Here is a 21979-nt window from a genome sequence, read left to right on the forward strand (position 1 = left end):
TTTCATGAGATCTTCTGCCATGTGACTCAGTGGTGTGTGGTTTGTGGTGTGTGTAGTGTGTCTTAGCCTGTGATCCCAGCACTTTGGGAGGCCTAGGCAGGAGGATCCCTCAGCCCAGGAGTTTGAGTACAGCCTGGGTCACACGGAGAGACCCCTGTCTCTACAAAACATTAAAAAAAATGAGCTGGGCATGGTTGCTGGCGCCTGTGGTCCCAGCTACTCCCGAGGTTGGGATGGGAGACTGAGCAATAGAGCTAGACCTCCCGTCCCTGAAAAAAGAGAAAAAAAGCAGTAACCACGAAGTGTTACATTTTATAAAACAAGAGAAAGTGTGCAGACTGCACCTGGCTGTGCCCCTCCCACTGAAGAGTTGTTTGAAGGTCTCTGCCTTGGAAACCCCCACATTAGACAAACACCCTCGCCCATTCCTCTGATCAGGGAGGCACGAAGTAAAATTCCTGGGCCGAGGGGCTGCCCATGTGTCAGATGTTTTGTGTGTGGGTAAAAATTGCTACTGTATTTCCTTCTAGAATGGTAGTGGGGAAACTGACGGCCTTTTCCCTCCGTGTCATTAACATAAAAATCATTGCCAATTTAGTAGGTGTAAAGAGATGTCTTCGTCCTTTTAATTGTTACATTTGGAGCTTTGTGCAGTCACACATTTGACGGACTTGTTGGCTGCATTGTGTGAGTTGGTGATCCTGGCCATAGCCTGTTTTTTTTCCTAATGGGATGGCCGTCTTTCTTAAACGCATTTGCAGGAGCTCTTTATATTAATAATATAAAATCTTTTTCAATTGCGTGGATTCCGAATGTTTTCCCAAGATCATCTTTGTCCTTTAGTTTTGTCTTGGGCTACATAATTTACATTTGCAGTTGAACTTTCACTTTTTCCTTGGTGGTGGTCTTGAGGGTGTGTGTGTTGGGTGGTTTGAAGGGTGAGGCCTGGGAGGGGGGGCGCTGGGACAGTGGCCCCGGGCCAGGTGCGGTCATGGCGTGGCTGGGGCTGGGGGTTGGCTGCCCTTTGAGGCTCTGCTCTGCGCTCTTGGACGCTTTCCGGCTGCGGGTTGCGTGTTGGTCCGATGAACTCTTCCTGGAAGTGCGTTTCGTGGTAGGATGGTTCAGGGTCACCCCCGTTGGCTCCTGTCAGCCTAAACAGGACATTCTGTTGCAGTAACACAAATTATGCTTTGTTTGTTGGAAAATCGGCAAGATATGCAAGTGTGTGTGTGAGCTTGTGCAAGGAAATGGGGCAAGAGTCACCCAATTAGCAGTTTTAAAAAGCTCATCCTTAAAAATCCACTTCCTTTGGCGTCTGAGGGGCTGGGCGCCTCGCCCAGGGCTCAGCTCTCCGGTGTCATGGGAAGTCCTTCTGAGGGGGTCACAGTGAGCACGAGGGGAGCTAGCCCAGGGCAGCAGCCCACGAGCATCCAAGGCAGACAGGACCCTGGATCCCCATGCCTCTGTTCCCCCTGACCTAGCCCCCCTGCCCCCAAAAAAGCAGGCAAGCCAGGGGCTCCCTGAGCTTTTCCAGTGCATTCCATCAAGGGGCATGGAGGTCACGTTTGCTCTGGACAAGATCACACCTGAATGGTGCCAGAAACCTGCTTCCTAGCACAGTGTTCTGGGTGGTGGGCACTGCTGAGGCTTCTCTTCAGACCCATTTTACAGATGGGCATGCTGAGGTCAGGTAATGGGGCCAATGTGCCTGACACCCAGAGCAGGCCTGGGAGCGAGAGGCCCAGGCAGGGCAGGAATCCCTTCTGCTTCTGCCCCAGTGCTTTCTGCCCCACCGTCACAGGACTGCGGGGAAAACAGCGAGATGCAGGTCCTGCCATCTATCGGCAGCCTAAGAAAAGGCCGGGGAGCCGACCTCTGCCTGTGGAGGAACCCCGACTTCCCACTACTGAAATGAGGTTGGTTTGGCCGGGTGCAGTGGCTCATGCCTGTAATCCTGGCACTTTGGGAGGCTGAGGCGGGCGGATCACGAAGTCAGGAGTTCAAGACCAGCCTGGCCAACATGGTGAAACCTCGTGTCTACTAAAAATACAAAAATCAGCTGGGCGTGGTGGCAGGCACCTGTAATCCCAGCTACTCAGGAGGCTGAGGCAGGAGAATCACTTGAAACCGGAAGGTGGAGGTTGCAGTGTGCCAAGATTGTGCCACTGCACTCTAGCCTGGGGGAAAGGGCAAAACTCTGTCTTTAAAAAAAAAAAAATGAAGTTAGTCCCTGTTCCCAGTTTCTGCCTCCGTGGGATGGGACAGAGCTTCTGGGATAGGGTCGCAGATACTGAGAACATAGTCACTGGCACCCAGCAGGTGTTTGGTTGGTGGTGACGATGCTGTAGGACAGGCAAGGGATGCATTTGTACATGTTGATTGTTCTAACGTGAATGCCTCCTGGAAGATGGCGCCGGGGCTCTCTGCCTGGAGAGGGAGGAGTGATTTGATGGTTTTCCTGATGCACCTATCCGGCAAGTGCCCTCGTTCCCAGATGTGCAAAGCTTCAGCCATCTGGAAAGTGGTCAGTTGGCCAGCCCCCTCAGGATGCGCTGGAGCCAGTCCACCTTGCACCTCCCAACCACCCCCCTGGGTGACGAGGATCGTGGCCAGGCCCAGGTCCTTGGACTCCTGAGGACCAGGAAACTTGGAACGGAGGACCTGCCCTGGGGTCCTGAGGCCTGGTAGCAAGTCCTGGCTCCATCTTTCTCCAGCTGGGCGATCCCTTGTCAGAGCCTCAGTGTTCCCATCCATAAAATGGGCCTGATGAACGCTGTCTGTTTGTCCCACCCCCCTTAATGAGAACCGTGAATGGCAGTGTCAGTTTCTGAGGTCACCTTTTAGGTGCCATCCAAATGCAGAGCCTTCTGACCCCGAGTGTTTGTCCTGTCCCTCCTGTGGGTCCACAGCTCCTTCTTGCCTGCTGCCTCCTGGTCCTCCCAGGTCCCCGGGGAGGTCACAGACGCTCCTCCAGCTGTCTGCAGAGTCTGGGTCTTGGATTATGGAAGCTTGGGGTGGCCGTCTGGGAGGACACGCTGGCTCCCATACCCACGTGGCTGCCTCATTTCCACCGGCTGAGCCAGCAGACACGTGGCTCCAGGCCAGCGCCCAAAGACTTTCCATGGTGGGGGGCAGGGCGGAGGCTCAGGGAAGCCGACAAGGGGCTCTGAGCCCACATGCTGCTGCTCACGTCCAGAGCCCAAACTCGGGATACGCTGGGTGTGGGGGACACAGCGTCCTCAGGACGGAGGCCTGGAGCTTCTGACCTGCTGGGTGGGCAGTGGGAGGGGGCTAGAGGCAGGGTTGTCTCCAGCCTTTCCAGACAGGAGAGGGGTGACCCCAAAGTCCCCCTCGAGCCAGCCACAGCCGGCCTTGGAGCTGGAGTCCTGACCCCCGACCAGGTTTGAGGCTGAGCTAAGAGGACATTATGGGGGCTCAGAGCCCAGGGGACCCCCCACACCTCAGGCTGGGCAAGGGTTGGCAGGGCGCCTGACCTAGCTCCAAAGCTTCCAGGTACTTGGAGGGTTTGATTTTTCTTCCCATCCTCCCTGCCCGGAATTCAATTAATCAATAGAAGAAATCCCTGCGTCACACCTCTCTGAGCCCCGCAGGCTCCTACAAGACCGATTAACACAAACATCAATTTCTTGGGCTGCGCGCCTCCGAAAACACGGTACTTTTTCAGATTGAATTGCTACTGTGTGCCCGGTGTAAATAAAGGAGAGGGAGTAATATGGAAGATTTGTGACTGTGTGCGGCGCGGCTCCGCTTCCCACTCCGCCGGTGCTATTAGGCGCTGCAGTGCGGGGTGGAGGGAGGGAGAGACAGAAGGAGAGTGGAGGGACAGAGAGGGGGCAGACCACTGGGCAGGGCGAGAGAGGACAGAGAGAGAGGGAGAGAGAGAGATGACAGGGAGGGAGACACATACACTCAGACAGAGAGACAGACACAGAGGGAGATACAGAGACAGAGGGAGAGTGGAGAGGCAGAGAGGGCGGGAGACCATTGCGGGGATGAGAGAGGACAGAGAGAAAGCAACAGAGAGAGAGAGGCAGAAATTGAGAGTGGTGGAGGGAGGTTGGGAGCAAGAGAGAGAGAGAGAGAGGAAGAGGGAGAGAGAGAGGAAGAGGGAGAGAGAGGGAGGTGAAAAGAGAGCAAGGAGGTGCGGAAAGGCAGGCGAGGGAGTGGGCGTCCGGCGCAGGGTGGCTGGGAGGGATAGCTAATTGCTTATTCATTTTTCCTGGCAGTCTGAAGGGGGTGGCAGCTGAGAGGGGGGTGGCACTGCTGGTCTTGAAGCAGCTGCTGGTGGGGTGGCCGAGGTGGCCCTGCCATGGGAGGACGGGCTCTCCTGCTCCCTCCCTCCTTCCATCTGGTGCAAAGCAGGGCCTGATGGAGCAGGTCCAACCCAGGCGCGTGGTGGGAGTAAGGACCCGAAGGTCTTGCTCAGAGGCCGAGAAGGCCAAGTCCGGAGCAGGGAGACTTGGTGAGACCCCGGGTGAGGCCCAGGGCACTGAGCAGAGTGGGATAGGGGCTCCTCCTCGCAGCCACACGCCCCCCTGCTGGGCTCCCTGTGGCTAGTGCCCTCCCCAGTGTGTCCCCAAGGCCCTGGGCCTCTCCGTCCTACCATGCGCCTCTCCATCCCACCGTCCACCTCCCACCTCCCCGCAGCCGGGTTCCAGACCGGCGCTGTACAGGAACCAGAATGCGTGTGAGCCACACAGCAAAGTTTCAATTTTGTAACAACCATCTACAAAGGGAAAACGGGACAGGTGCCATTAGTTTCAATAATGAGCTTTGAACTCAACGTACTCCAAATGCAGTCATCTCAACAGGTAATCAACACAGAACAATGCCTCCTGCAATCACTTTTCATGTTGAGTCTTTGGGACAGGGCTGTATTTCATAGGCACATGGTCCCCTTAAGAGCCGGCCACCTGCGAGCACTCCGGGGCCAGCGAGGCCAGCAGCCCCATGGTGGATGGTGCAGCTCTGGGCCCTGGTTCCAGCCCCTGTGTCCTGACGGTAAATGCTGAGGCCTCTCTGAGAGCGGATGCTGGGTCCTGGTGACAAAGCTGCCGGTGGCTCGTGGGTCTCCCCTTTACCCGTGAAGGGGCCGGCACAGTGCCCAGCATGGAGAAGCTCGTGGCAGAGAAAGAACTGCATGTTCCAGGGCAGAATTTCAGCCAGTTCAGCTCCGAGCCACCTGCTCTTGCCCCACTTCCCAACTGTGGAGGCCCCGGGAGCCTTCTGGGGGCTGAGCACGGGTCCCGGCAGGTCCCAGGCCTTGAGATTACTTCCATCCTTGCTGCCATCGGCTCTTGACCCTTGGTCCCTGCGTCGGCTCCTGTTGGGCGGCTTTGTGGGGCCGGGTTCTGGGTGTGGAGCGTGGCCTGGACTTCCCAGTCGTCCGAGTGGCTGGAAGCAGGGCCACTGCTCACAGCACTTCTCCCGCCTCTTCCCAAGGCTGACTCCTGTCCTTCTGTTCCCTCAGAATGGGGCTTGCAGCTTCGGGCAGGTGTTCACCAAGGACTCAACAGGTGGGGCCCTGACCCTGGAGCTTGAAGGCTGACGGTCCTACCTTCCCTCTGGAGGTGTCCCCCAAAGGGGGTGGTGGGGTCTTCCGTTTATGTATAACTTTTTAATTTAACAAAACACAGATTTTGTTGTATTTTTGAGAGGGTATCACTCTGTCAGCCAGGCTGGAGTGCAGTGGCGCAATCACAGCTCACTGCTGCCTCAACTTCCCAGGTTCAAGAGATCCTCCTGCCTCAGCCTCCCAAGTAGCTGGGACCACAGGCGTGAGCCACCATGTTCAGCTAATTAATTAATTAATTATTTTTTTTTTTTTGGTAGAGACAGGGTTCCTACCATGTTGCCCATGCTGGTCTCGAACTCCTGGGTTCAAGTCATCCTCCTGCCTCAGCCTCTCAAAGCACTGGGATTATAGGCATGAGCCACTGTGGCTGGGCCAAAACACAGACTTTAGCAGAGTTTATAGGAATCAGCGCCATTGTGGTGGTTAGAGAGGTGATAATGCCGCAGACCAGGCTCCCTTGGCAGAGAACTTGACTTTTACCACCTCCCTGCTATCCAGTGAGCCAGGAATTACTGTTTGCGGCCATCAGGAGAGGTCACTATGGCTGAGAGAGGGCAGCAGTCACGGGTGGGAAAATACCATGCTGGGCTGATGCCAGTGTCTCTGGACTCTCATTCCAGTGCTCTTTGCACAGCAGCGCACCCTATCTGGGGTCCCTTCCCCAAGGAGCTTCCCAAGAAGCTGAAACCACCAGCCCCATGGCATGGAGCTTTGAGAGTGCTGTCAGCAGGCACTCATTCACTCACTCATTTAGTCACTCACACATTCATTCATTCACTCATTCATCCTTTCAGTCATTCATTCGCCCATTCATTCATTCATCCTTTCAGTCATTCATCCACTCATTCATTCATCCTTTCAGTCATTCATTCACTCATTCACTCATCCTTTCAGTCATTCATTGACTCATTCATTCACTTATCCTTTCAGTCATTCATTCACTCATTCACTCACTCACTCATTTTTCACTCACTCATTCACTCATTTTTCACTCACTTTCAGGATTACAGGCTTGAGTCACCATGCCTGGCCCACTCATTCATTCTTTTGTTCAATTGTTCAACAGGTGTCCACAGACTTTGCTGCGTACCAAACACTGGGCCGATCTTTCAGATGCAGTGACGCAGGAATGATTATCCCCAGGTTTATATGAGAAAACCAAGGCTCAGAGAGGGTCAGAGACTTGCCTGAGGTCAGACAGCCAGAGAGCAGTGGGGTAGGAGGGACTGAACCCGGGCAGAGCTCATCTGAAAGCCCCTTGACCTGCCTTCTTAGAGTTTCACCCCCGCACTGGATTGGCCCCAACCAGCAGGCCTTCTGCTGCTCCGTCAGTGACATTGGGGGTTCTTGGTGGGATAGGGACAGCACGGGTCTCAGCAGGAGCACCAGGAGGAGGTGTGGCGAGTCGGGTTGGTGGGGGACACACCGAGAGGTGGGCTGGTGGGGGACACAGCGGGAGGTGGGCTGGTGTGGCTGGTGGGGGACACACTGGGAGGTGGGCTGGTGGGGGAGATGCAGCGGGGGTTCTCTGGGCTTCTGCATCTCTGCCCTGGGGTCAGTCCTGGTGGGGGCTCAGGGGAATGCAGAGACCTGGTTTACCATGAAACTCAGTCTCCTGGAGGAGCAGGTGACTGCCCAAGGCGTTCAGCAGCTACACCAAGCCAGGGCTTTGCGGGCTGTACCCTGGGACCTGGAGCCCCTCTGTTTCCCCCAGGACTTGAGCCCCCTGGGTTCACCTTGCTCAAGCCACCCAGAGAGGCCAACGGGAGGACTCAGGAGGAAGACTCTGAGGCTTCCTCTCTCCTGGGGCCTGATTTGGACAGCCTGAGGTTTAGATCTGCTGCTGTCTCCTCTTGCACAGGGCTGCTCTTACGGCAGATGACTGAGCTGCCCCCGCAGAGCTGCAGCGAAGCTGCGGGCACAGCTGCCTCCTTAAATGGCTGGAGCCCCCACTCTCTGCCCCTAGCCCCTTAAAATGAGCTCCTGCTGAAGTCAGGCCCTCGGCAGAGCCTTGGGTGGAAGGCGAGGGCTTCCGGGGAACTGTGCATTTCGAGTGGCCTCAAGTGAGTGAGTCAGCTTCTGCAGGGGGCTCAGGCAGCGGGCACTTAAGTGTGGCTAATTTGGTACAAGAACACGATGCCACTAGCAGGTTCTGCATCTTGGAGAAGCTTGGGGGCCATCAGCACAAAGGGGCTGGGGGAGGACGCTGCATCAGGGGCCTAGTGTGCGGGGGTGGTGAGTGCGACAGAGGCACTTGGGCTGGGGCCCTGCCAGCCACTGCCTCCTGCCAGGGCCTGGGCTGGGCACCTGTGGCCAGTGGGGACTCGTGGAAAAGGCACCCTCCCGCAGGGCAGGGCAGAGCCTCCTGGGAGCGGCACCCTGGGCGAGCTCAGTGTCCAAGGCAGGTCCCACACACCTGCCCACTGCCCTCACTCTCTCCCTCGCTTCCCTTTTTCGTCCCAGGAGTAACAGGAGGGGTCCAAGGTGAGCACGGTGAGGCAGGGGCTCTGGGTCATCCTCTGCCCGCCTTGCCCCATGAGCAGAGCCAGCAGCCATGCCAGGGTCACAGCTGGCTGTGAGGTGAAGCTGTGGTTCAGGACTTGGCATTTCTTCTCAAACATGTCCTTGCCTCTTGGTTCAGAAACACAGATGCCCCCTCAGGTTCCATAAGGAAAGTGAGAGTGAGAGCAGCGGGGTGATGCTGGCGCCACACACCAGACCCTGGCTCCCTATAGCACTGCTTCCTGCAGTAAGCCTTCCCGAGTCCTGGGGACACCTCCGGAAGTCTCCTGTCCCACTTCTGCTCTGACACCAGACCCTCCTGGCTGGGTGACCTTGGATAAGGAATCTTAATGCTCCCTACTCCAAAATGAGTGCCGTGCGCTCAGGGACATCAAGACTAGGAGGTGCTAACCCACTCTCCCTGGCCAGCAGTGAGGCCAGTAGACACAGAGCTACCCAGGGAAGGACCCGTCCCCCTTGGAGCATGGGTGAAGTGGGCCCTGGGTGCTAAGAGGGGCCCAGCATCAGGAAGACTGCAGCCCTAATGCCACCCCAGGCGGGATGGCCTGAGAGAGTCTGTGCTGGGAAGGCATTCAGGAAGGCCTGGGAACTCTGATACAGCCTCTCTCCTTCGAGGCGCTCTCTGGGGATTGGCCTGGGGCAGTGCAGAATCCCAGAGTCCCCGCCTATGTGTCCCCCAGCCCCTGCTTGTCTTGTCTGCCCAGGGCCACAGGGGAATGGTTAACGGCAACGGAAATTACAACATATTGGAATTGAATGAAAATTAAAACGCAACATATTGGCTGGACACAGTGGCTCATGCCTGTAATCCCATCCTAGCACTTTGGGAGGCCAAGGCAGGAGGATGAGTTGAGGCCAGGAACTCATCCTGGGCAACATAGTGAGAACCTGTCTCTTAAAAAAACAGTGGGTGCAGTGGCTCACACCTGTAATCCCAGCACTTTGGGAGGCTGAGGTGGGTGGAGCCTTTGAGGTCAGGAGTTTGAGACCAGCCTGACCAACATGGTAAAACCCCATCTCTACTAAAAATAGAAAAATAGCTGGGCATGGTGGTGCATGCTTGTAATCCCAGCTACTTGGGAGGCTGAGGCAGGAGAATTGCGTGAACCCAGGAGGTGGAGGTTGCAGTGAGCCGATATCGCGCCATTGCACTCCAGCCTGGGCAGCAAGAGCAAAACTCTGTCTAAAAATATAATAATAATAATAACAGCAACAACAACAAGAAGCAAAAAACACAACATATAAACTTTTTTTTCTTTTTTTTGTTTTGAGATGGAGTCTCACACTGTCGCCCAGGCTGGAATGCAATGGCACCATCTTGGCTCACTGCAACGTCTGCCTCCCAGGTTCAAGCAGTTCTCCTGCCTCAGCCTCCTGAGCAGCTGGGATTACAGGTGCCCGCCACCACGCCCAGCTAATTTTGTATATTTTTAGTAGAGACGAGGTTTCACTACATTGGCCAGGCTGGTCTCGAACTCCTGACCTCGTGATCCCACCTCGGCCTTCCAAAGTGTTGGGATTACAGGCATGAGCCACTGTGCCCGGCCCCATTTTTTTTTTTTTCAATCCTAAAAATTAGTTCTGACTTTAGAATAGAGATTCTGAATATTTTTAAGGCATTATTATATAGTTGAAAAATAAGGTCAAGATCAGATTAAGCTTTGATAGTCCAAGTTAGCAAAAATACTAATAATGCCTCTACATGGATTTCCTTGAATCTTGTCCTGTGTTTTACTGATATTGAAAGTGTTTTTTATGTTGCTGTGCTTAATTTTATTTAAAACGTTTTTTCTCTGTTTTTTTAATTTAAGGAAAGCCATGCTATTAAACAAACAAACAAACCTATGAGCTAAGCTCTCGGGTTATATTTGAAAATAAAAAGTGTTTCCTGGACTGAAAGAGCTCATAAGCTAATTGAGGAAATACACATATAAATAACTCGAATGAAGGAATTAGGTAAAAAAAATGAGATTCTTCCTGTTTGCACATCTTCATGCCTTAACAACAACCAAAAAAATCTGCACACACACAACCACAGGAAAAAGGAAGTCCTCTTGCAGTCTTCTTATCTCATCATGTACTTGATTACACAAACTAGAAATCTAACGTTCCTCAACCCTCGCCCCCAAATCTAGTCTGCCCCATGATAGTTGATGTGACCACTTTACACTGGTTTTTCCATCGACTTTCCTAGAGCAGCTGCCATCACCACCAACACCAGTGCCAGCTTCTTAATCCACATCATTGCTTACATGATTAAAGTGGCTTCTGGCTGGGCGCGGTGGCTCACACCTGTAATCCCAGCACTTTGGGAGGCTGAGGTGGGTGGACTGCCTGAGGTCAGGAGTTTGAGACCAGCCTGGCCAACATGGCGAAACCCCATCTCTATTAAAAATACAAAATTAGGCCAGGTGCGGTGGCTCATACCTGTAATCCCAGCACTTTGGGAGGCCGAGGTGGGTGGATCACCTAAGGTCAGGAGTTTGAGACCAGCCTGGCCAACATGCTGAAACCCCGTCTCTACTAAAAATACAGAAAAAAAAAAAATTAGCTGGGCCTGGTGGTGAGCACCTATAATCCCAGCTACTAGGGAGGCTGAAGCAGGAGAATTGCTTGAACCCAGGAGGCAGAGGTTGTAGTGAGCCGAGATTGAACCATTGCACTCCAACCTGGGTGAAGAGCAAAAACTCCATCTCAAAAACAAAAAACAAAAACAAAAACCCAACAATGACAAAAATTAGCCGGGCATAGTGGTGGGCACCTGTAATCCCAGTTACTCAGGAGGCTGAGGCAGGGAGAACTGCTTGAACCCAGGAGGTGGAGGTTGCAGTGAGCTGAGATCACAACGTTGCACTCCAGCCTGGGCAACAGAGTGAGACTCTGTCTCAAAAAAAAAAAAAAAATACAGTGACTTCTAACTACTTTGCCCACATGTGCTCTGGCACCTCTGCCTCTACGGAGGGAAGCTGCAGTGACCTTTCTAAAATACAAACGCCATTGCCTCATCCCTTTGCTTAAAACTCTTCAAATATTGCCTATTGTTCTTTGTATTAATACTAACTTTCTTTTTTATCCTTATCATTATTTTTTCTTTTGAGACAGGGTCTTGCTCTGTCACTCAAGCTGGAGTGCAGTGGCGCAATCACATCTCACCGCTGCCTCGAGCTCCAGGGCTCCAGTGATCCTCCTGCCTTAGCCTCCCGAGTAGCCAGGAGCACAGGTGTGTGCCACCATGCCTGGCTAATTTTTGTATTTCTCAGTAGAGATGGGGTCTTGCTGTGTTGCCCAGGCTGGTCTCTAACTCCTGGCCCCAAGTGATCCTCCTGCCTCGGCCTCTCAAAGTGCTGGGATTACAGGTGTGAGCCACTGCACCTGGCCGGTATCAACTTTTCCTACCTGACTTGCAGAAACCTGCACAGCTTGGCCACTGCTGACCCCTCCAGCTTCATCACAGGCCAGAAGGCCCCTCCTCTTCCTCATGCAACCCCTTGAAGGTCCTGCTTCTGTCAAGGGCTCTACGCTTGCCAGTCCCACTGCCGTGCTGGTGCTCTGCACTGCGCTAGCTCTTCCTCAGCCTCCAGAGGCTGACCCATGCTGCATCCTCCTTAACCTCTGCCTCACAGCATCGTATATTTATTTATGTGATAGTTTGATGAATAGCCATCTCTCTGACCAGACTAGCATAGTGCTTTATATACACTAAGCATCACAATGTTTGTCAAATGGATCAATAGATGACTAAAAAATTAAACTGGGATTGTAAAGTGGGATTCTGGGGGTCTTCGACAACTTCATGGAAAATGCCTATTATGAATAAGCTACATAGGAATTTCAAAGTTTTTTGCCCAAAATAAACTATACTGACTTCTTATAACATGTCTGAACAGAACATATTGACTTTGTGTGATATAGCTAAAGCAATGTTTAAGGGAAAATTTATAGCATTAAATGCTTATATTAATAAAAGGAAATCAATGATCTATGCTTCCATCTTTAGAAACTAGAAAAAGAAACAAATTAAACTTAAAGCAGGCTGGGCGCGGTGGCTGACTTCTGCAATCCCAGCACTTTGGGAAGCCGAGGCGGGCAGATCACTTGAGGTCAGGAGTTCGAGACCAGCCATGCAAACATGGTGAAACCCTGTCTCTACCAATACAAAAAATTAGCTGGGTGTGGTGGCAGTGCATGCCTGTAATCCCAGCTACTGGGGAGGCTGAGGTAGGAGAATTGCTTGAACCTGGGAAGCGGAGGTTGCCGTGAACCGAGATTGTGCTGTTGCACTCCAGCCTGGGTGGCAGAGCGAGACTTTGTCTCAAAAATAAAAAACAAAAAACAACCTTAAAGGAAACAGGTGGAAGGAAACACTAAAGACAAGAGCAGAAGTCCATGAAATAGAAAATGGAAAAGCAATAGGAAAACATAATCAAGGAAACCAAAGTTGCTTCTATGAAAAGATTAATATAATTGACAAGGCTCTGATCAGACTGATCAAGAAAAAAAGAGACACAAATTACCAATATCAGAAATGAAAGAGGGGATATCATTACAGATCCTACAGATATTTAAAGGTTAATACAGAACATTATAGGCTGGGCGTGGTGATTCATACCTGTAATCCCAGTGCCCTGAGAGGACAAAGCAGGAGGATCACTTGGGAGGCCAGGAGTTTGAGACCAGCCTGGAAACATAGCAAGACCCTGTCTCTACAAAAAAAATTTTTTTTAATTAGCTGGGCTTGGTGGTTGTGCCTGTCATCCCAGCTACTCAGGAAGCTAAGGCAGGAGGATTACTTGATCCTGGGAGTTAGAGGCTACAGTGAGCTGTGATCGCACCACTGTACTCCAGCCTGGGTGACAGAGCAAGACCCTGTCTCAAAGAAAAAGAAAAAAAAAAAAAAAAGAAAGTTGGTATTAAAACAATAAAACGATAGAAAATATTTGGAGAGTTTTAAGCAGGGGGATGATGCAGTCAGGTTTGTGACTTTTGGAAGGTTCATTCCAGCTCCCCTCCATAGAGTAGATAGGAGAGTTGCTGGAGCAAGGTGGGCAGAGTAGTTAGAAGCCACCTTAATCATGTAGGCAATGATGTGCATTAAGGAGCTGGTGCTGGCGCTGGTGCTGGTGGTGATGGCAGCTTCTGGAGGAAAGTCTGATGGGATAAACAGTGTAAAGTGATCACATCAACTAACGTAGGGACAGACTAGATTTGGGGGTGAGGGTTTGAGGTTTCTGGTTTCTGGTTTCTGTAATTAGGTAGATGATGAGATAGAGAACACTGCAAGAGGATTTCCTACAAAAACCAAGCCAACAGACAAATAGCTGGGCATGATTGTGTGGGCCTATAGTCCCAGCCACTTGGTAGGCTGAGGTGGGAGGATTGCTTAAGCCCAGGAGTTAGAGTCTGCAGTGAGCTATGATCGCACCACTGCACTCCAGCCTGGATGACAGAGAGAGACCTTGTCTCTAAAGAAATAAACAAAAAGAATGTTACAAACAATTTTATGTTCCCACATTTTACGACTTAGAAAAAATGGGCAAATTCCTTGAAAGACAGTTACCAAAGCTCATTCAAGAAAAAATAGATGGTACCATATAAATTAAAGAAATTAAATTTGTTGTTAAAAACCTAACAACAATACAAACTCTGGGCCTAGACGACTTTCCTTGTGAATTCTACCAATACTTAAGAAAGAATTAATGCCAACTCTACACTATCTCTTCCAGAAAATGGAAGAGGAGGGAACAATTACCAACCCTTTTTATGAGGCCAACATTACATTGATATCAAAACCAGACATTGCAAAAAAAAAAAAAAAAAAAAAAAGAAAAAGAAAGCTATAGAGCAATATTCCCCATGAGCAAAGACACGTAAATCCTCAATAAAATACCAGCAAATCAAATCCAGCAATATATGAAAAGGATAACACATCTGACCAATGAGGTTTATGCAAGGATGCAAGTCTGGTTCAACATTCAAAAAACAATCAGGGCTGGGTGCAGTGGCTCGCATCTGTAATTCCAGCACTGGGAGGCCAAGGTGGGTGGATCACTTGAACCCAGGAGTTGGAGACCAGTCTGGGCAACAGGCAAAACCGTGTCTCTATGAAAAATAAAAAAAATTAGATGGGCATGGTGATGCACACTTGTAATCCCAGTTACTCGGGAGGCTGAGGTGAGAGGATCACCTGAGCCCGAGGAGGTTGAGGCCGTAGTGAGCCACTGCACTCTAGCCTGGGCAACAGAACGAGACCCTGTCTCAATAATAATAATAATAATAATAATAATAATAATAATAATAATAATAACAATAATCAGACCAGGTATGGTGGCTATAACCCCAGCACTTTTAGGGGTTAAGGTGGGAGGATCACTTGAGACCAGGAGTTGGAGACTAGCCTGGGCAACAAAGTGAGACCCCTATCTCTACAAAAAATTAAAAAAATTAGCTGGGTGGGGGAGCACACCCATGGTCCTGGCTATATGGGAGGCTGAAGCAGGAGGATTGCTTGAGCTGAGGAGGTTGAGGCTGCAGTGAGCTGTGTTTGTGCCATTGCACTCCAGACTGGGTGACAGAGAGAGAGAGAGAGACCCTGTCTCAAAAAAAAAAAAGGAATTAATGTAATTCATCATACCAACAGATTAAAAAAGAAAAACCATATGATCATCTTAATAGATATTGAAAAAAGCATTTGACAAAATTCAACATCTACTCATGAAAAAAACCTCTCAGCAAACCAGTAAGAGAAAGGAGTTTCTTCAACCTCATAAAAGGCATCTACAAAAAACCTGCAGCTAATATCTAATTAATAATGAAATACTAAATATTTTCCAAGATCAGAAAGAAAGCAAAGGTATGCAGTGTCATTATTGTACTGGAAAGCCTAGCCAGTGGAATAAGGCCAGAAAAAGAAATAAAAGATATACAAATTGGAGAGGAAGAAATGAAACAGCTTCTATTTCCATTCAATATGATTATCTATATAGAAAATCTCAAAAAATCTATGAAAAAGTTATTAGAACTAATATTAGTGTGCCAGGCATGGTGGTGTGCACCTGTAGTCTCAGCTACTCAACAGGCTGGTGTGGGAAGATCATTTGAGCTCAGGTGTTTGAGACCAGTCTGGGCAATAAAGTAAGACCCTTTCTCTAATAATAATAATAAAAGTAGCACACTGTTTCTGGTCACCTTTGAGACTGGCTTACTCTGGGTCTGTTGCTCCAGACTCAGCTTTCTTAGACAGAGCTCATTTTGTCAAGTGCAGTGGCTCATGCCTGTAATACCAGCTACTTGAGAGACTGAAGTGGGAACTCCAGGAGTTTGAGGCTGCAGTGAGCTATGATTGCACCACTGTACTCCAGCCTGGGCAACAGTGACCCCATCTCTAAAAAACCCAAAAAACCAAGTGTAGCGATGTCATAAGATACAAGGTCAATATAAAAAGAAGTAATTATAATTTTGTGGACCAGAAATGAATCCTTTGAAATTGAAATTAGAAAGGAAACAATACCATTTACCATAGCACCAAAACCTGTAAAATGCTTAGGTATAAATTTAACAAAACATGTACAATGTCATTATGCTGAAACTGAAAAACACCAATGAAAGAAATCAAAGAAGACCTGAATGGAGAGATATACTATGTTCATGAATTGAAAGACTCAATATGGTTAAATTGTCAATTATTCTGAAATTTGGGATTTAATACAATCTCGATCAAAATCTCAGCAGGAGTGTTTATAGAAATCAACAAGCTGATTCTAAAATGTATATGGAAAGGCAATAGACTAGAAGAGCCAAAATATCTTTGAAAAAAGAACAAAACTTGGAGGGTTCTCACTGTCTGATTTGAAGAGTTACTTTAAAGCTATGATAATCAAGACAGTGCAGTGTTGGCAAAGGGTATACAAATAGATCAGTGGAACCAAAATACACTACCATGTATATATACTTAATTTATTTTCATCAAAGTTACAATATAACTCAATATAGGACCATCTTTTAAACAAATGATTCTGGAACAATTGGACATTTGTATGCAAAAAAAAAAATGAAATTTGACTCACACATTGCACCACATACAAAAATGAACTCAAAACACAACCTAGGCCGGGCACAGTGGCTCCCGCCTGTAATCCCAGCACTTTGGGAGGATCACCTGAGGTCAGGAGTTTGAGACCAGCCTGGCCAACATGAAGAAACCTTGTTTCTACTGAAAATATAAATATTAGCTGGGCATGGTGGCCCACGTCTGTAGTCTCAGCTACTTGGGAGGCTGAGGCAGCAGAATTGCTTGAACCCAGGAAGCGGAGGTTGCAGTGAGCCAATATCGTGCCACTGCACTACAACCTGGGCAACAGAGCAAGACTGTCTCAAAAAACAAGCAAACAAACAAAAAACAGAACGTAAACTAACTTTTAAATCTGAAACTATAAAACTTTTAGAAGAAAACAGAAAAAAATTTGTGGTTTTGGTTTTGGCAAAGATTTCTTATATCTGACAACTAAAACACAACCTGCTTAAAATTTGATAAATTAGACCTTATCAAAATTAAAAAAATTAATGAAAAGACAATTCGCAGATTTGGTGGAAACATTTCCAAAACACAATTCTGATAAAGAGTTTATAGCCAGGATATATGAAACACTCTCAAAACTCAATAATAAGTAAGCAACCAAAATAAAAAGTGGACAAAAGATATGGACACTTCATCAAAAGAATATTTATGGATACCAAATAAGGCCATAAAAATATGCTCAATGTAATTAGTCATTATGTAAATGCTGAGATATCACTATACAGCTGTTACAATGGCTTTTTTAAAACCTGACAATGACAAGTGTTGGTGAGAATGCAGAGCGACTGCAACTCTTGTACATTATTGATGCAAACACAAAATGGCATGGCTACTATGGAAACAGTTTGGCAGTTTCTCATAAAGTTAAACATATACTTATGATATAACCCGGCAATCCCACTCCTAGATATTTATTCAAGATAAATCACATGAAAATCTGTGGATGAATGTTTATAGCAGCATGATTTGTAATAGTCCCAAACTGGAAAAACAATTCAAATATTCTTTAAACCATGGTATGTCCATATAATAAAATACTACTCAGCAAGAAAATTGAATGAGCTATAGATAAATGCAAAACACAAGTGAATTTCAAGTGAATTATGCTAAGTAAAAGAAGCCAGGCCAGGTGTGGTGGCTCACTCCTGTAATCCTAGCACTTTGAGAGGTCAAGGCACGAGGATTGCTTGAGCCCAGGAGTTTGAGACCAGCCTGGGCAACATAGCGAGACCCTGTCTCTATTTTAATAGAAATAAATGATTTTTCAAAAAAGAAGCCAGACTCAAAAAGGCTGCATAGTTATAATTCCACTAAAATTACTTTCTAGAAAAGGCAAAACTATGGAACAGACAACAGATCAATGGCTGGGGGAATAAATTTACTGGGCTGGGGGAGTGAATTTATTACAAAAGGGTCTGGGGAATTTTGGGGAGCAATGGAAGTGTTCTATAGCTTGATTACAGTGGTGGTCACATGACTATTTCAGTTTGTTAAAACGTACAGAACTATACACTAAAAAAAGGTAAGTTATACTCTAGATAATTATACCTCAATAAAACTGACTTTAAAACAAGAATTTGGGAGAATTAACATCTTCATAATGTTGAGTTTTCTAAATTATGAACATGATATATGCTGCCCATTTATTTAGGTCTTAGTTTTCTCATAGTTTTGGTGAGGTTTGATTTTAAGTTTATGCTATCCTTGCAAAATAATTGAGGAGTATATCCTCTTTATTTTCTGGTAAAGTTTATGCAGGATTGGAATTACTGTAACTTGTACTTAAACATTTGGTACCGGTGAAGTCATCTAGACCTGAGGTTCTCTACTTAGGAAGTTTTTTTCTTTTAAAATTACTGATTAAATTCATGGAATGGTTATAGGACTACTTAGTTTTTCTATTTCTATTAGTTTTCTATTCCTTCTTGAGCTTGTGTCAATGAGTTATGTATTTGTTCTTAAGAATTTGCCCATTTTGTCCAATTTCATACAATTTTTGGATATATTGATATATTATTCATTTTTCAATAGATGTGAGACTTTATGTCATTATGGAACACAATGTTATTTTGAAGTGTTTGTCAGATTGCCATACAAAATCAGTTTCTTCCTCTACCATTTCTTCTTGTGTTTTAAAATGTTAGTTTGCTCATTTCGATTGGGAGGAGTTGAGGTTTTTCTTCATCTGGTTTTATATCGTTTGCTCCCTTTCTCTCCCTGATTAGTCTAGAATCAGGTATTAAGGTGGTGTTTCTGCAGTGCTGTGACATGGAGCACAAAGCAGATACGGTCCTGGAGGCAGAAGGCATCTTGGTGAGGCTTCTCATTTTGAGGTTGTGGCATCAGCCCTTCCCTGCTAACCCCACCACCTGCCTCCTCCATAGACTGCAGTGTCCCTAAACTATAACTTCAGCACCAAGGCTGCTGGGCTGTTTTCTTGCCCTCTTTCCCAAGCCTGTGTCCTGGCCCGCACTGGACTCCAGTCCCTGTTGCCCTTTGGGAGTGCTGAGTCCAGATCCTGCCACTCCCAACCTGGAGCCCTGTGGGCTGTGGTGCTCACCCTGCTCCTTCTGTTTCTGATTTGTGAGAGGCTTGTCTTGTTTTCAGCCCAGGCATATGTTCTGGGCCCCCTTGTTTATATTGCACTGATGGCTGCCTTGTGGTGGGGCAGTGGGTGTGAGCAGCTGTGCACCTGCAAGTGTTTTGATCAAAAATCCCTTTGTTTTGAAATGCAATTTGTTCTCTTTGTTGGTCTCAGACTCTCCAATCCAGAGTAGAGAGGTGGCCTTACCTTGACAAGCAAAGGCGCTTAAGAGGGTTTTCTGAGTAACAAAGCATCTTGCTTGCCCTGTAATGAATTCTGCCCCTGCCACCCTGGAATGCAGACATGGCTGTGGGTTTTTAAGCCACGTTTTTCTTTCCTTCTCCTAGATTTCTGTACTTACGCATTTCCACACATGTGACATTTCAAGATGGTGGTGCAGTGGAGTGGCCTCTCTTAGTCACAGGGCTTTTTGCTGGCCCTTCCCTGACTGCTAGTGTCCTCCTCAGCCCTCCTTCCCTGCAGCCTCCTTCCCTGCAACCTCCTTCCCTGCGACCTCCCTCACCCTTCCAGTTTCAGCTTAAATACGGCTCCCTCAGAGAAACCCCGAGCAGCCGGACCCTCTTTATACTCCTCTGCACTCTGTCTTTGCCTTCTAGGAGTTCGATGCCCATGTGGGCACCCTGGCCCATCATCCCAGATGGGCTGAATGAAGGACTTGACGTTTCTTTCCCACCTCCCCAGGCCTGCTTCCGTCCCAACACTGCTCCTGTCACAGAGAAAGGACCAGAATAAGACTGACTCTATCCCCTGTCCCCATCGCTGGGCATCTGATCTTCTCCGCGCCCAGTCCAAGGATCGTCTGCATGCCTTCCCTTCTCCCTCTCCCTCTCTGAAGGGAGCGAAGCAGCTCAAATTCGGTATGTGCCCTGTCTCTTTGAGAGGTCCAGTGTGACTTCCTGTTTGAAGATCTTCTAAGTTTATGGAATTTTAGAAACGCTCTGCTAATAAGGCAGAAGTGACCTTTGACCTCCCCTCCCCGCTTCCATCCTGTAACAGGAAGCCAGTGATTCCTTTCTGCCCCACCTACCAGAGGGGCAAGAAAACATCCCTGGGAGGAAGGCCGCTGCCTTTTGCTCTTCATCTTCTATCTGGAAAGTTCCGTGCCCTCTTCCCTGGGGGGATGAGTAAGACGGCACACAGGGCTTGGGAATTTTTAATAAGGGCCAGAGCTCTGCAGGGATGCTTGATGGGGGTGCTCGTTTTCGAGGTGGGGAGGCTGGAGGAGAGGCAGATGCTTCCAGGAGTAACTGTCTGGTTACCAGACTGCAAGACCCACGAAGCCCAATTCTCCACCCAGGGAGGGGCGGTGGGGAAGAGGCCATCAATTTAAGACTTTTATTTACCTTGAACTACTCAGCCAAGCAGACACATTATTTAGGAACTAGAATAAAAAGCCATTCACTTTACTTCAATTGACCATTTAGTTCAATTTGTGTGTTACTGCAGGTAATTACTCCAGTAATAACACGCGGTAATCGGCGCTGATTGGGAGCCGGCCCCGGCTCTGTATTAATACCGCGTGCCATATATACTAATTATCCGTGTGTTACCATGGTTATTTGCATGGACGCCGTGTTAACGACACCCTGGAAACACAAAGCAATAGCGAGTTTTGAATTAAATCTTTGTGTTCTCTTAGAGCTAAAAGTGCATTTCACATAAAATAATCATGAATAAAATGAGATCATCTTGGCGGAGTTGCCAGGAAGCTGATTAACTGAACTGCGTAAATGTGACTTTATCCCACTCAAGAATTAGAGCCTCCCAAACGTTGTCGGGGTTGCTAGGCAACCCCCCGAGATGACATCACTCACACAAGCCACGCTGCGGCGATGTCATCTCTACATATTTATAGCGCCTCTGCAGAGAGGGTGTGCATTATGGAAATGACATGATTTTTCTCCCGGTTGATGGGTATGAATGGCCGTCAGACCTCTGAGGGCTGTGGAGAAAGAGAATTTGGGAATACCTGTGTGACACTTTCCTGGGGTGTGACAGATGCTTTATTTCCACCAGGTTACCCTAATGGGTCCAAATGAAAAGGCGTGTGTCACAGCTGATGAGTCGTCTGAGAGCTTGGTCAGTGGAGGCCGCCATCTTCCTGCCTGTGCACAGCAGCTGCACATGTGCCCAGGTCTCCCAGGAGACCTGGGACGCTCCCCCAGCTGGGGAGAGCCCCCACCCCTGCACTACGATGGGCCCCGGCTCCCTGCTCTGGCCCTGAACTCATACCAGGGGAAAACCCAAAGCAGGGACACAGCTGGCTTGAGTGATGCTGAGCACCCCGTCATGGGAGACATTCGAGAAGAAGCTGGATGACTAGAGCAGAGAGGAAGGGGAGGGTGGGAGGTCGAAGGTTAGGGCTCTGCATTCGTGTCTCAGTGCCCACCCTGAGCCAGGCTGGACACACAGCTGAGGCCTCTGAAGAGTTTGGGACCATGAGGAGTGAGGCTTACCAGGGGCATGTGGAGAAGGCCTACGCAGTGCCTGAGGATGAGGCAGTGCTTCCTACAGGGGCTTGAGAAAGGGCATGGCTGGAGCTCAGGCCTCCTGAGCCGGAGAGGGACTCGGGATTTGCTGGGGAGCTGCAGCTCGGTCTTCCCTGAACCCCAGCCTCCTCTGGCTGCAGCATGAAGAGGGATTAGGGGTAGGGATAAGAATCAAAAGGCAGCCGGGGGGAAATCTAAGTTTGGGGTCAGGATGGCTTCAGAGCAGCTCTCATCCGCCCTGTCAACTTCCCTGTGTGCGGGCTCATTCCTGGCCACCCCCAGCCAAGCTGGCCCGCCAACCCCACAACACCCCACAGCTATTTCTCTTTATAGACTCCTCTTCCTCAGTCCCTGTAGAAACGAATCTGGCATAAAAGAAGTCTCGCCAAGGTCTCCAGCAACCTCTGTGTTGCCAAACCTACTCTATTCTCCAGCAGCCCTGTACTGCTTTCTTCTGGTGCCTTCTGGGGGCCCCCACCCCATCAGTCCTCCCCACGTGTCCTCCCCACCTGTCCTCTCCACCCGTCTCCCCCTCCGTCCTCCCCACCTGTCCTCCTCACCTGTCCTCCCTACTGGTCCTCCCCCCATCCTCCCCACCTGTCCTCCCCACCTGTCCTCCCCATCGGTCCTCCGTACCAGTCCTCCCCCATCCTCTCCAGCTGTCCTCCCCACGTGTCCTCCCCACCTGTCCT

The 21979-nt window shown here is 49.0% G+C and overlaps 1 long non-coding RNA gene across 1 annotated transcript in view, besides 3 other annotated features; it reads left to right on the forward strand.

Moving 5' to 3' along the window:
• Window positions 1-21152, forward strand: part of LOC124902298 (uncharacterized) — a 27764-nt gene extending 6612 nt beyond the window's left edge. The window contains exons 2-3 of the long non-coding RNA XR_007061835.1: window positions 19480-19655; window positions 20815-21152. This is a non-coding gene — a long non-coding RNA (uncharacterized LOC124902298). The remainder of the gene's footprint in view (window positions 1-19479; window positions 19656-20814) is intronic.
• Window positions 101-310: an enhancer, noted in NCBI's record as "active region_29273". NCBI's record gives its function as "activates an Ori minimal core promoter by ATAC-STARR-seq in GM12878 lymphoblastoid cells {active_cell/tissue: GM12878}" and the evidence as "EXISTENCE:reporter gene assay evidence [ECO:0000049][PMID:35858748]".
• Window positions 18187-18688: an enhancer, noted in NCBI's record as "H3K27ac hESC enhancer chr9:137095569-137096070 (GRCh37/hg19 assembly coordinates)". NCBI's record gives its function as "activates a minimal SCP1, AML or CMV promoter by ChIP-STARR-seq in naive H9 embryonic stem cells {active_cell/tissue: H9 hESC(naive)}" and the evidence as "EXISTENCE:reporter gene assay evidence [ECO:0000049][PMID:30033119]".
• Window positions 18689-19188: an enhancer, noted in NCBI's record as "H3K27ac hESC enhancer chr9:137096071-137096570 (GRCh37/hg19 assembly coordinates)". NCBI's record gives its function as "activates a minimal SCP1, AML or CMV promoter by ChIP-STARR-seq in naive H9 embryonic stem cells {active_cell/tissue: H9 hESC(naive)}" and the evidence as "EXISTENCE:reporter gene assay evidence [ECO:0000049][PMID:30033119]".
• Window positions 21153-21979: the final 827 nt, after the last annotated feature.

This window comes from Homo sapiens, chromosome 9 (assembly GCF_000001405.40).
Source record: "Homo sapiens chromosome 9, GRCh38.p14 Primary Assembly".
In the NCBI taxonomy this organism is placed as follows: Eukaryota; Metazoa; Chordata; class Mammalia; order Primates; family Hominidae; genus Homo; species Homo sapiens.